At 54.7% G+C, this 13,047-nt stretch overlaps 1 protein-coding gene across 1 annotated transcript in view, besides 10 other annotated features; it reads right to left on the reverse strand.

The window, feature by feature from the left end:
- SLC7A5 (solute carrier family 7 member 5) overlaps positions 1–9,635 on the reverse strand; it is a 39,485-nt gene extending 29,850 nt beyond the window's left edge. Inside the window, exon 1 of the mRNA NM_003486.7 lies at positions 9,013–9,635. Coding sequence (NP_003477.4) covers positions 9,013–9,550 — 538 coding nt within the window. The 5' untranslated portion in view covers positions 9,551–9,635. The remainder of the gene's footprint in view (positions 1–9,012) is intronic.
- Positions 633–1,390: an enhancer, noted in NCBI's record as "H3K4me1 hESC enhancer chr16:87894111-87894868 (GRCh37/hg19 assembly coordinates)". NCBI's record gives its function as "activates a minimal SCP1, AML or CMV promoter by ChIP-STARR-seq in primed H9 embryonic stem cells {active_cell/tissue: H9 hESC(primed)}" and the evidence as "EXISTENCE:reporter gene assay evidence [ECO:0000049][PMID:30033119]".
- Positions 2,149–2,906: an enhancer, noted in NCBI's record as "H3K4me1 hESC enhancer chr16:87895627-87896384 (GRCh37/hg19 assembly coordinates)". NCBI's record gives its function as "activates a minimal SCP1, AML or CMV promoter by ChIP-STARR-seq in primed H9 embryonic stem cells {active_cell/tissue: H9 hESC(primed)}" and the evidence as "EXISTENCE:reporter gene assay evidence [ECO:0000049][PMID:30033119]".
- Positions 4,605–5,185: an enhancer, noted in NCBI's record as "OCT4-NANOG-H3K4me1 hESC enhancer chr16:87898083-87898663 (GRCh37/hg19 assembly coordinates)". NCBI's record gives its function as "activates a minimal SCP1, AML or CMV promoter by ChIP-STARR-seq in naive H9 embryonic stem cells {active_cell/tissue: H9 hESC(naive)}" and the evidence as "EXISTENCE:reporter gene assay evidence [ECO:0000049][PMID:30033119]".
- Positions 6,534–6,583: an enhancer, noted in NCBI's record as "active region_11342". NCBI's record gives its function as "activates an Ori minimal core promoter by ATAC-STARR-seq in GM12878 lymphoblastoid cells {active_cell/tissue: GM12878}" and the evidence as "EXISTENCE:reporter gene assay evidence [ECO:0000049][PMID:35858748]".
- Positions 9,599–9,948: a silencer, noted in NCBI's record as "silent region_7842". NCBI's record gives its function as "represses an Ori minimal core promoter by ATAC-STARR-seq in GM12878 lymphoblastoid cells {active_cell/tissue: GM12878}" and the evidence as "EXISTENCE:reporter gene assay evidence [ECO:0000049][PMID:35858748]".
- Positions 10,189–10,948: an enhancer, noted in NCBI's record as "OCT4-NANOG-H3K27ac-H3K4me1 hESC enhancer chr16:87903667-87904426 (GRCh37/hg19 assembly coordinates)". NCBI's record gives its function as "activates a minimal SCP1, AML or CMV promoter by ChIP-STARR-seq in primed H9 embryonic stem cells {active_cell/tissue: H9 hESC(primed)}" and the evidence as "EXISTENCE:reporter gene assay evidence [ECO:0000049][PMID:30033119]".
- Positions 10,189–11,710: a biological region, named in NCBI's record as "P300/CBP strongly-dependent group 1 enhancer GRCh37_chr16:87903871-87905070".
- Positions 10,393–11,592: an enhancer, noted in NCBI's record as "P300/CBP strongly-dependent group 1 enhancer chr16:87903871-87905070 (GRCh37/hg19 assembly coordinates)". NCBI's record gives its function as "activates an origin of replication core promoter dependent on BRD2, BRD4, P300/CBP, MED14 and CDK7 cofactors, with strong dependence on P300/CBP, by STARR-seq in HCT116 cells {active_cell/tissue: HCT116}" and the evidence as "EXISTENCE:reporter gene assay evidence [ECO:0000049][PMID:35650434]".
- Positions 10,949–11,710: an enhancer, noted in NCBI's record as "OCT4-NANOG-H3K27ac-H3K4me1 hESC enhancer chr16:87904427-87905188 (GRCh37/hg19 assembly coordinates)". NCBI's record gives its function as "activates a minimal SCP1, AML or CMV promoter by ChIP-STARR-seq in primed H9 embryonic stem cells {active_cell/tissue: H9 hESC(primed)}" and the evidence as "EXISTENCE:reporter gene assay evidence [ECO:0000049][PMID:30033119]".
- Positions 11,672–11,998: a transcriptional cis regulatory region, noted in NCBI's record as "candidate enhancer chr16.4806 targeted for multiplex CRISPR interference". NCBI's record gives its function as "positively regulates expression of the SLC7A5 gene with high confidence and the MAP1LC3B gene with lower confidence in K562 cells {active_cell/tissue: K562}" and the evidence as "EXISTENCE:mutant phenotype evidence [ECO:0000015][PMID:30612741]".

Below are 13,047 nucleotides of genomic sequence, written 5' to 3' on the forward strand. Positions count from 1 at the left end.
GTGAGCTGAGATCATGCCACTGCACTCCAGCCTGGGTGACAAAAACAAAACAAAACAAAACAAAACAAAACACAATATTCGTCTCCACAACCTCCTGTCTTACCCAGATACTCCTTTCTATTGATACCAGGTCTTTAGCTAATAACTCTTTCAACCAATTGTGAATCAGAAAATCTTTTGCCAGGCACGGTGGCTCACACCTGTAATCCCAGCACTTTGGGAAGCCAAGGTGGGCGGATCACCTGAGATCAAGAGTTCGAAACCAGCCTGACCAACATGGTGAAACCCCCGTCTCTACTAAAAACACAAAATTAGCTGGGCATGGTGGTGCATGCCTGTAGTCCCAGCTACTCGGGAAGCTAAGGCAGGAGAATCACTTGAACCCAGGAGGCGGAGGTTGCAGTGAACTGAGATCATACCACTGCACTCCAGCCCGAGTAACAAAAGCATCTCAAAAAAAAAAAAAAATACACACACACACACACACACACACACACACACACACACACACACACACACACACACACATATATATATAAAGAAAAAGGAAATCTTCGAACCCACCTGTGACCAGGAAGCCCATCCCCGCCTTGGAGTTGTCCCGCCTTTCTCGGCAGAACCAACAAATACCTTTCATGTACTGACTGATGTCTGCCTGTAACTTCTGTCCTTGTAGGAGGTATGAACTCCAGCTGTGGCCCACCCCCTGGGGCACATGTCCTCAGGGCCTCCAGGCCTTGGTCCTCACATTTGACTCCGGATAAATCTCTTCAAACATTTTACAGAGTCTGGCTTTCTCGTTAACAAGCAGCTCACACATACAGTGTCTCAGTAGTGACAGATGCTGGCCCACCCCGAGGTCAGGATGACTCAGCAGGGATCGAGTTTGCGGGCGTCACGCTCCAAGGCCCAGAATAGGAGGTCGGTGCTCATTCCTCACGTAGTGGGCAAATCCTAGGGCAGGGGAGGGGCGGGCAATGCCAGAGAACGGTCCCCACCTGGGGTGGTCTGACGGCCAGGGATGCAGGGAGAGACGCCTCCCACACTCCCGGAGGCACGCACGTGCTGTGGCCACCCCGGAGGGTCCGCCTTCCAGAGGGAGAATTCAGGATTCGGCCAGTATCAGGGAAGGAGACGCTGTGGGGGGCCCTCCTGTTGGAAAAGGGCAGCAGCGGGAAGAGGGTGCTGCCACAGGGCCTCTGGGGAGCGTGCGGGCACACAGTACCAATCTGCATGCATACACGTGTCCTGTCCCTGCAGACGGGCCAGGCAAGGCCTGCCCATGGCCAGCTATCCAGGTGATGCTCCAGGGAGGGCCAGGCCTACTGGGGGGCAGAACCCTGTGGCTGTCCAGGGTACCTGGATGTGAGTCTGGGAAGGATGGAGAAGGGTGGAGGAGCGCAAAGGGCCCCTAGGGGATGCTGGGGAACACAGATGAGCCTCTGACCCACCTGTGTCCTTACCTGGGCCGACTGGGCCACCCAGTCTTGCTGACTGACACCTCCCCAGACCCCTGGCACCCACCAGACTCCCCAGGCGTGGCTTTGTGCTCCCCTATGCCTGATGACAAATGGTGGCCTCAGTGTAGAGGTGGGCACTGTGGCCCCTGGCTCCTGGCTCGCTCCTGCCTCAGTTTCCCCAGCTGTAAATTGGGGATTATCACTGGCTTCAAAGGCTGGAGTGCAAAGTGGTGGCCAAGAGGTGGCCAAGAGGTGCCAAGAGGTGGTCCAAGAGTGTGCCCTACCTTGGACACCCCTCTCCTGGGGGTGGCTCTCAACCTGGCCTGGGCCCCCGGGGGTCTGCGCAACCCACCCTTCTGTGTGAAGGCGGCTGATACACATTTCTGGGCAAGATTCTGCACATTCTGCTGGATTATGAAAGAGGTCTGTGACCCAAGAAAAAAGGGTCACAAGTGCCCGTTAGGCTCTCCTGTGTGGCTCAGGTCATGTGCTTCTGTGAGCTCCCCCTACGGCCTTGCCCCGAATCCCGTGATGCAGCGTGACCTGCCTAGGTGCCGGCGGCACTTTCATGTGCGGCTGGGAAAGTCAGATTTCAGCACTAATCACTGGCTGCCGCCTGCAATGAGCCCACGGCTTGAGCTCTGGGGCCCACCCAGCTCCTTAAACACGCAGAACCTTTGCCAGCTGAGCCAGGATCCCAGCTGTGGGGGGTTGGGGGTGGAGGGGTGCAGGGATCCCAAAACCCAACCCGGGGCCAGGTTTTACACAGGCCTGGACTGAGAAGTGGGGCTACAGGCTACAGGTGCTTGATACCCCAGGGGGGCCCTGGAACAGGCCTGGACTGAGAAGCGGGGCTACAGGTTACAGGTGCTGGATACCCCAGCGGTTGGGGGGGTGGTGCTGGACACCCAGGGGGCAGATAGAGGCAGCCAGGCAGCCTGAAGACCCTGGGGCAAAACACACACAGGCCCCCTCTGCTCTCTGGTCACTGCTAACTGGCCAACTGGCCTTTGAGTCCACTGACCACAGCTAAGCCCACAGCCATCAAAACCCACCCCTTACACCCTTCACCCTTTAGGGAGGGGCTCAGAGACAGTTGTGGCGATTCCTACTTCCACCCATAGCCCCCCGACCCTGGGCCTGTGCCGAGCGTGGGTGGGTGACATCATCTCGCACCCAGAGCTCCAGACTAAAGGAAACCCTGGCTCCTGTCTCTGGCTCTTCCCTCCCTCTCTTTGTTCCCTTGCTCCTTCCTTCTTTTGCCAGAGGAGAAGACAGTGAGGCTGAGGGCTGCTCCATGTGCACAGTGAGCAGGAGATACAGGCACGTGGAGGGACGGTCACAGCCCGTGCAACTGGCACCTTCACACGCAGAGGCCTGGGATTCCCAGACACCTGGCGCTGGGGCCAATCCCATTCCACAGTCAGAAACAGGCTCGGCGGGGCCAGGTGGATTTCTCAAAGCCTTGGTTGCTTTTGGCCTGATGCTAGCTGGACAGTGTCTCAGCTCACAGGTTCCTAAACGCATACCCGCCCACACCAATCTGCTGAGGAGTGACAGCCATGGGGAGGAGAGCCACCTCACTCCAGGGACCCTGGCACCGTCTCCCATGAGGCCAGGTGTCCTCAGCCACCCGCAGCCAGAGTCCCGCGAGACCGACGGACGGCCTGCCCCTGCGTGACGGCACGCCTGGGACTGTCTCAGCAGCCCCCCATGCTTCACCCAACTGGGACAGGGAAACAGGAGGGGGCTACTTCTGCTTTCAAGGCATGGAGGAGCTGTCTGCAGGCCACTTCCCGAACACCTATGCGCTTGGAGAAGTGACTGAGACTGAGCCAGGGTATCTTCTCCACGATGCAGTGAGCCCATCGGGCCCTTCTTCTGAGAGCACCTCCCTGGAGGTGGAAGCCCCTGAGGCCCACAGCATCTTCTGAACCTGTGAGTTCCCACTTACTGAGAACTCGCCTGGATCAGTGCCGGGCCACAGTGGACCGGGACTTTGAGTGGATGCTACCCTACTCGCTATGCAGAGCCAGCTGGGGCCCAGGGAGGTCAGATAAACTGCCCAAACCAAATCCAGGCCCAGCCAGAATCTCAGCTCCAGCCTTTGCGCCTTCTGATAAAACCCAGCATCGCTTGAATTTCCAGTACACGCTGCCAAGTCTTCGTTAAGCAATAAATAACCACACAACCCTACTGTCATGCCAAGTTCCATATGGCCATCCAGAAAGAGACACATGGAGCTGGTTCCTCTCACCTTTATGACCAGTGAAAAGCGCACCAACACGAAGACACGCGTGAAAGGACCTCATCTCCTACCCAGACTGACAAGCAAGGGATTTTTTTCACTCACCGTCAGTGGGATGGTTCTAAGCACCGAGGCCAACCCATTTCACACGATTATTTCACAAAAAGAAACCTTCTGTGGGACGTGCCTGGGCGACTGAAAAGACAGCCAGCAAAACTGAGAACCTTGTTCTCAAATCTATACCCTCTCCCAAGGCAGCCTCAGAGGCCCGAGGGCTGAGGATCCAGACCCGAAAGCCACTGTACCTTCTGTAGGATCAGGCTCAAGGAATAAGGGGGTAAAAGGTGCCCTTTCCCTTCCTAAGCAGAAAATTCCAGAACCCAACCTTATGTGTGATCATTTAAAAATATATATATATATATATATATCAGCCGAGTAGGCTGACTCACGCCTGTAATCCCAGCACTTTGGGAGGCCGAGGTGGGCGGATCACCTGAGGTCAGGAGTTCGAGACCAGCCTGGCCAACGTGGAGAAACCCTGTCTCTACTAAAAAATACAAAATCAGCCAGGCATGGTGGTGCATGCCTGTAATCCCAGCTACTCGGGAGGCTGAGGCAGGACAGTCGCTTGAACCCAGGAGGCAGAGGTTGCAGTGAGCCGAGATCGTGCCATTGCACTCCAGCCTGGACAAAAAGAGCGAAACTCCACCTCAAAATAAATAAATAAATAAATAATAAATAAGTAAAATAAATCACTTTCTATGGCTTTTCACTGCTCCAGGAGCAATGTCCACAGATCAAACGCCCGGCCTCTCCTTCACACCCTGGAGCGCCCATCCTGCCCACTGGTCCGGGCTCCAGGCTGCCCCCTGCACCTGTCAGAAGCCCCCCTATAAGGGCAGGGTCTCCCTTCCCGGGACATCCACTGCCCTTCTCCGAGCTGAAGTCAGAATGACCTGAGAATCAGCTTGGAGTTCTACCAGCCTCAGCAAAGCCCACCTCTGCGACAGCACTCCTTGCAGACCCCTGACCCGGTGACAGATGAATAAAGTACAGACACACAGATATTCTGCTCTGCCAGTCCAGCTGAGGGTCCCAGCCGCTTATAGGCTCCCTGCTGAGTCCTGTAAACAGTTGCTACTTGGCCCTGATCAGCTAGTCAGACGTGCATTTATTCAGTATGATTAACTAACAAAAGCTTGAGTCAACACCATTAGAATGTAACAGACATTGTGGACTTCCCAAGTAAAAAGCACTTAAACACCCACGGTCTTAAGATTATGCGAGTAAACAAGCTAGCTAGGTAAACTACGCTGCCTTTCTTTTATCACTATTTTTATTTGTTTAATTAAAGGTAAAGGGATCAGGCCGCCTTCAGCCAGAGCTAATTACCGAAGTTATGCCAACTTCTCGGCCTTCCAAGATTTGTGTCTATTTCTATAACTATCTCTAATATCTTTCCCACCAGAATGATTGAACCCCAACACACCTCCCTCTCTCAGCAGGGTCTGCCTGTTCAGAGAACACAGCTTCTCTTTCTTGCCTTACACACAGGGGCAAGAATAGATTCACTCTTGCAGAGAGTACATCCCTTTCTGTTACTGAAAATCACTTTCCAAAAAAAAAAGCAACACATACACACATACTCACCACACACACAGGTGGGTCAGAGAAAAAAAACAAGTACAAATGGCTTAGGGACATGAGAAGTGTGGCCCTAACTTTCGCTGAAAGGGACCCTATTAACATTAACCCTCACCTCTGGGTCAGAGAGGGTTGGCACTCTAGGGCCTGCCTTGAAGCTTTACCTACTGGGACCAAAAGGACTGCTTGGAAAGCTATTTTAGGCCAGGTGTGGTGGCTCAAGCCTGTAATCCCAGCACTTTGGGAGGCAGAGGCGGGTGGATCACCTGAGGTCAGGAGTTCAAGACAAGCCTGGCCAACATGGTGAAGCCCCGTCTCTGCTAAAAATACAAAAAATTAGCTGGGCATGGTGGGCACCTGTAGTCCCAGCTACTCGGGAGGCTGAGGCAGGAGAGTCGCTTGAACCCGGGATGCGGAGGTTGTAGTGAGCCAAGATCGTGCCATTGTACTCCAGCCTGGGTAAGAGCAAAACTCCATCTCAAAGATAAAATAAAATAAAAATAAATTTAAAAAATACTTTTTAAAGCCCTATTACCACAAAATAAATCCAGGAACGCGTGACTTGGTACAGCCTCTTTGGAAGGCACATTAGCTATTACATTAGAATCCACACCCCGCCGGGTGCGATGGCTCATGCCTGTAATCCCAGCAAATTGGGAGGCTGAGGCACATGCCTGTAATCTAAGCTCCGGAGGTTGAGGCAGGAGAATCGTTTAAACCCAGGAAGCAGAGGTTGCAGTGAGCAACGAGCCTGGGCAACAGACACAGACTCTGTCTCAAAACAAAATCAAAAACAAAAAGCAAAAAACCACATACCCTTTTCCCATTTGCACAAAGCTGGGAAACCCCAAATGCCCTCCACAGGGTTCTATGGGGGGGCGGGGGTGCGGTGAGCACACTTGTTCCTGCCGACACAGGGAAGTCTTCTTAGCAGCTAAAGAGGGCAGCCTCTGCGTACTGCCTGGGAACATGGCAAAACCATTTTAGGCTTTAAAAAAAAGGTGGAGAACAAGTTGTACATTATGATCTTTTAAATAAATAGGCCAGCGATATATTTGTAACAGAAGCAGCTCCGGAAGCATACACTGTCAGCCGCAGAAACTCTGGGGGTCGGGGGTGGTAAAGGAGGAGAAATGTGTCACCCAGGCAGGAGCTCAGTGGCACCATGCTTGGTTCAAGCAGTTCTCCTGCCTCAGCCTCCGAGTAGCTGGGACTACAGGTGTGCGCCATGACGCCCAGCTGATTTTTGCTTTTTTTTTGAGATGGAGTTTCGCCTTGTTGCCCAGGCTGGAGTGCAGTGGTGCGATCTCAGCTCACTGCAACCTCCACCTCCTGGGTTCTAGTGATTCTCCTGCCTCAGCCTCCCGAGTAGCTGGGATTACAGGCATCTGCCACCACACCCAGCTAATTTTTTGTATTTTTAGTAGAGATGGGGTTTCACCATGTTGGCCAGGCTGGTCTCGAACTCCTGACTTCAGGTGATCCGCCTGCCTCGGCCTCCCAAGTGCTGGGATTACAGGTGTGAGCCACAGTGCCTGGCTGGTTTGAATTTTTAAATGATGATGAATTCATGTATGACTGATGTGATTTTTATTAGAAAGAGAAAACTAGGCAGCGCCCCATCCTACGTCTCCTTCCTGGTGGCCAATGAAGCATTTCCCACGACTCACTCCTGGCACCAGCAGGAAGTCAGAGACTCAGCACCCAGGGGCTGCTTTTTTTTTTTTGAGACAGGCTTGCTCTGTCACCCAGACTGGAGTGCAGTGGCGGGATCTCAACTCACTGCAACCTCCACATCCCGGAGCATGCCTCAGACTCATAAGCAGCTGGGATTACAGGCGTGAGCCACTCTGCCCGGCTAATTTTTGTATTTTTAGTAGAGATGGGGTTTCACCATGTTGGTCAGGCTGGTCTCGAACTCCTGACCTCGGTAGATCCGCCCGTCTCGGCCTCCCAAAGTGCTGGGATTATAGGCGTGGGCCATCACACCCAGCCAACCAGGGGTTCATTTTTTAAAGATAAGAGTGCAGGCTGCGTAAGCTACTATCCATGTCGTTACATACCGGGCCGACATGTACCTAGGCGGGAGGGAGACTGAACCAGTGAAATTCTAATGACAAAAAAAGAAATCAGAGTCATCCCCTACATTCACATCTCCAACGCCCAGCTGGAAGGCACAGGCTCTCCCCACTGCTGTCCTGCTACGATTTTTCCCGGCTTTGACCTGCATGGTGGTGCGGCTGCTCGACTCAGAGCCTCAGAGAAACCACACAGAGCCCTGCTGAGTCTTGCCCTCGGGGCATTCTCACATTTATGAAGAAATGCCTCCCCCTCCCCCTCCCCCCCAAAGTACGGTGTGGCAGAAAACAGCGCCAACAGGTCCTGCCAGTCAGAAGCCACTCCCCTGATTTCATGGCTCAAGACCCCAACTATAAATTAGCCCTTCCCACCTTGAATGTGTACACACACTATTGAGATGCAGGCCGATCCATGCCATGGGATGAATCTGAGAATTGCCAAGACCCACCTTCCCACGCCACCCAACCAAATCATGTGGCATCTGCTACAAGTGATTTTCCCCCTGAAATCCCACAAGAAAACTATTTTGAGGCCGGGCACGGTGGCTCACGCCTGTAATCCCAGCACTTTGGGAGGCCGAGGCGGGCGGATCACAAGGTCAGGAGATCGAGACCATCCTGGCTAACACGGTGAAACGCCGTCTCTACTAAAAATACAAAAAAAATTACCCGGGCGTAGTGGCGGGCACCTGTAGTCCCAGCTACTCGGGAGGCTGAGCCAGGAGAATGGCATGAACCTGGGAGGCGGGCTTGCGGTGAGCCGAGATCGTGCCACTGTACTCCAGCCTGGGCGACTGAGCGGGACTCAGTGTCAAAAAAAAAAAAAAAAAAGAAAGAAAAAGAAAAAGAAAACTATTTTGAAAAGCAGTTATCTCTGGCCTGGTGAAGAACACACCAGCACCATGCCCACCAAAACAGGAGCCCCATGGCTGTTTCCCAGAGAAACCTGGGACCCGCACGTCCATTCACTGCAACACAGACTGAATCTGCAGCCAAGCTCCGCTCTCTCACTACTGGGAACCCTCAGGGGGGATCCCTTAGCCTAAATCAGCACCAGTCACTACCCGCACACGATGTTATTACTACTGTTTTCTTATGAGTCAGCCCGTGTCACTGATTCCTGACGAGCTGGTGTGGAGAGCAGAAATGAATGATTTTTTTTTTAACTGCAATTTCCTTCTCACCAACCAGTCAGCAATCGGAGCTCTAACAGTAAACCGATTGCTCAGTTACTCCACGTGGGTGCCACGCAAGAGGCTGGGAGTATTGCTCAGCGGGGCCAACGGGAGGGTGGCACTTGCCTAAACCGCTTAAGTGGGGGAATGGAATGCCCACCGAAGGGCAGGGCAGGGACCCTGCTGTCCCGTCACTGAAGATATTCCCAGCCTGTGGGGAGAAGTGTAAAAGAATGAATGAAAGAAACGCACGTGGTTTCTGGGACCAATGACCTTAGCCTAGAACTGCCGGGATGGTCCAGGAACGTAAAGATGTAGAGATGTGGGAGCCAGGGGCGTAGTGATGCAAGGATGCAGGGACCCAGAGACTACGACCTCCCAACCCCCGGCCCGCGCCCCGTACTCACGCACGCAGAGGCAGGCCACGAGCTTGGCTGCCTCCTCGGGCACCGGGCAGGTGGGGAAGAGCGGCTTGAGCAGGTAGGTGGCGAAGACCAGGGCCACGATGTACTGCGATGAAGGCCGGATGATGAGCAGCTCGATCCAGAGCTTGAGGAAGGCGGGCAGCGAGCCGTAGACCTCCAGCATGTAGGCGTAGTCGCCGCCCGATTTGGAGATGGTGGTGCCGAGCTCCGCGTAGCAGAGCGCGCCCACGATGGAGAAGACGCCGCACGCGGCCCACACCACCAGCGCCAGCCCCGGCGAGCCTGCCTCCTTGAGCACGCCCGTGGGCGTCACGAAGATGCCCGAGCCGATAATGGTCCCCACGATGATGGCCACGCCGTTGAGCAGCGTGATGTTCCGCTGCAGGGTCACGCCCTCGCCCTCGCCTGCCGGCGCCGAGCCGTCCGCGCTCTTGGCGGCCAGCATCTTCTCCCGCGCCTCTTCCTTCTCCTCGGCCGCCGGCGCCGCTAGCGCGCGCCGCTTCGGGCCCGCACCCGCCATGCTCTGCGCACCGGCCGGGCCTGGGACACCCGGGAGCCGCGGCCCAGCGAGCAGTGTGCGCGCCGCCCGCCGCCCGCAGCTGCGTCAGGAACCCCGCCCGCGCCGCCTTTTAGGCCCCGGCCCGCCGGCCCCGCCCACCGTCCGCGGCTCCTCCCCGCCCCGTGGCCCGGCCCCGTCCCTCAGCCCCGCCCCCTCGGCCCAGCTCGGAGCACGTGCGTCGTCCGGCCCAGCCTGGCGGGCTATTCCCAGGCCCGCGTGGTCCTCGAAGGCCCCAGTCCTCCTGCGCCATGGAGACCCCGGCCTCGCGACCTCCCCCCTCCCGGCGCCCGCGTCATCCCAGCCCGTCCTCCCGGATGCGCCTGGGCGGGGCCTGGCAGTCAGGGCGCGCCCCTTCACCCACTGGCCCGCAGCCTCTCGTCAAGCCTGGGAGCGGGCAGTGCACCAGGGCTGGCCTGAGGCCAAGGATGGAGTTTGGGGTACCCCCCGAAGGGAACCTAGGCTCCTGTCCCGGATGGGCCGAGGGGATGGAACCGCCCCCACAACCAGCTCCTGGGGCACGGGGGAGGGATGAGAGGATGACCTGAGGGGAAGCTCCTGCAGCCTCCTTCCAGCCTGGGGGCTGCATCAGTGGGGCTGGTGAGCCGCGAACTGGGACGAGGGAAGAACCGAACCGAGGCCACCCAGTAATTCCCATTGTATCCCAAAAGAATCTTGCCAAAGACGGCGATCCGGTGCCCGTAGCTTTGAGAAGCAGTAATAACACAGGCTTTGGGAAGCCAGCAATCTGCCTGAGCTCAATTTAATCAACAGAACCGGGGGTTCGCTGGGAGCCATAAGACCCCCACCCCCAAATCTACCTGGGGAATTCAAAGGCAGGCTTCAGTGTGAAGGGGCTTTAAAGCTTGTTATTCCTAGGGAATGCGAGAGGCATCTTAGCTAAAAAGGGTTGAGAGGTAATTTCAGTTAGAGGCGAGAGCAGGATGCCAAGGCTCCTAGGCCTGGAAATGGGAAGGAATATAAATACTGCCCCGAGATTGACCAGACTGGTGAGCGGCCAAAGACCTGTTCAAAGGGTGTGTGTGGGTCAGGGAGGAAGCTCCTCAGTATCACCCCACCCCGGGGTTCCTTGGCGTGTGTGCAAACGAGTCCTTGGAAGCTCACAGCAGGCATGTGGGGAGGCCTTTGTTCTGGGTGAGCGTTCAGCCTCCCAGGGCAAACACGCAAACACCGGTTGCAGAGCTGGGTGTTCACAGCAAGACAGTCTGCTGGGCAGATGCCTCTGGAATCCACAGAATTCTGAACAATAGCCGTGGTGGAGGGGGGTCAGAATCCCTGTCGTGCTGGGACCTCTAGCTGCAGCCAGGAATGTCCAGGCCCCACCCCAGGGAGGGGGCGGCTGAGGAATGCCAGGGCTTGTCATTCTGGACCTTGCTCGCCCCCCGGTATGTCGGGCATTCCTCTGCGGTGATAAAACCGAGCGAAATCTCAGCAGCCCAGGCAGCCACAGGCGGGGGAGTGCGGAGGTCACACAGATACTAACTTGTAATCTGCCGTCCACATTGCTGGCTGTGGAAGGTGCAGAGACCCCTCCATCTGCCCTATTCTTCCCGCTGTGCCTGCAGAGGGAAGGAGACAGTACCACCATGGCTGGGCAAACTCACCGAGTGCTCACTGAGTCCTCCCCTAGACAGCTTCTTATGCAATAGGGTAGGTGCCAGTTAGAGCCATTTTGCAAATAAGGAAGCTGAGGCTTGGTAGGGTTACCTCGCTTGTCCGGCCAGCAAGTAGCCTGGGAGCTGTCCTTTTGACTCTGAACTTATATGGTACTTTTAATCATTCCACCATTCTTCTTTGAGTAACAAGAAAGGCAACCAACAGTCATACCCCAAAGCATAAAATTACAACCATGATAAGCCAAGGACATGACAGGGTGAGCCAGCGACAGCGACAGGGACCAGGCAGGTCCAGATAGACTTTTCTGAGGTGGTACCTGGAGCTGAGAGCCCAGGGTGAGTGAGAATTAATAAGGGAGGTGCAGGGGTCCCCACCGGCACAGAGGGGGCCCTGCACAGTTGGTGCAAGTCATGGTTGGTGCCCCCAGAGCCAGGCTCCTGGCAAGTGCTGGAGCCCTTAAGCAGGAAGGGTGACAACAGCCATGAGCGTGTTCAAGTCACACAGCTATTACGCCACCTCTGTCGGTTTTTACTGGGTTTTCATATGACAACATTCTAGATTTATCCAGCAAATCTACTCCTCTCAGACGTCCCTGATGCCGGCCCTGAAACGCCTTCGCCTGAAAGCTATGACTCTAGAATCTTAGCAAAGAGTGCCATCTGTTGGAAAGATTCGGCAGCGTTTTGATTTTTACAGAGGCAGGACAATGGTCTTTTCAGCTCCAGTCAGTAATTTATCACATGTTGTGTATTTTCAGAGGTTAAAAAAAAGAAAGAAAGAAAAGAAAAAAAAGTTGTGGCACTCTCGCTTGAGCTGGTTGGGAGAATACTTTCTTTTCTTTTTTTTTTTTTTGAAACGGAGTCTCACTCTGTCACCCAGGCTGGAGTGCAGTGGCACAGTCTCAACTCACTGCAACCTCCGCCTCCCGGGTTCAAGCAATTCTCCTGCCTCAGCCTCCGGAGTAGCTGGGATTACAGGCACCCGCCACCATGCTCGGCTAATTTTTTATTTTTTGTATTTTTAGTAGAATTGGGGTTAGCCAGGATGGTCCCAATCTCCTGATCTCGTGATCCGCCCGCCTCAGCCTCCCAAAGTGCTGGGATTACAGGCGTGAGCCACCACGCCCAGCGCCCTGCAGGTCCTTTTTAAGGCTGTTTGCAACATAAATGAGACGAGGCATCTTCTGCCCCCCTCAGAGCGCCAGCGTGGAGTTGAGCAGGCCACCCTCTCTCACAAGGCGAACCCGTCATTATTTTGTCATTTGGAGCAACTGCAGGGGAGCAGCAAGGCCACAGGGCGAGGGGAGAGAACCCGGTGGATAATCCTTTGTTTTCTAATTATGAGATGAGTCTCGCAGTGCAGGGATTGTGGTTTTCATCTCAGCAAAATATAGGAGTGAGGTCCGGAGCGGATCCTTGCTCTTCCTTTCAACTCGTTCTTTTTCCCAGGAAAACGACTTACCTGGTAAACCCTGTAAACCAAAAATAAAATTCTAAGGGCCACCCCAGACATCTAAACAGACTTCCTCCTCAGCCAGGGCTCTTAACATTTAACCTGAAAGACTGGTTTGGGCCAGGAAGAGAATCGGGGGTTGGACGGCCTCTTTAGACCTCTCCAGCACTAACACCAACACATACTTGAAGTCTATCAGACTTAAAGATTAACATTTTACAGCCTGTTCTCTTTGAAGCCTCCTAGCTAAAAGCTTCATCTGCATGATACAGCTTTCATCTCCACAGCCTCACCACAACCCAAACATTCCTTCCTTCCTTTCTTTCTTTCTTTCTTTCTTTCTTTCTTTCTTTCTTTCTTTCTTTCTTTCT

The sequence above is a fragment of the Homo sapiens genome, chromosome 16 (genome assembly GCF_000001405.40).
Source record: "Homo sapiens chromosome 16, GRCh38.p14 Primary Assembly".
Classification (NCBI taxonomy): Eukaryota; Metazoa; Chordata; class Mammalia; order Primates; family Hominidae; genus Homo; species Homo sapiens.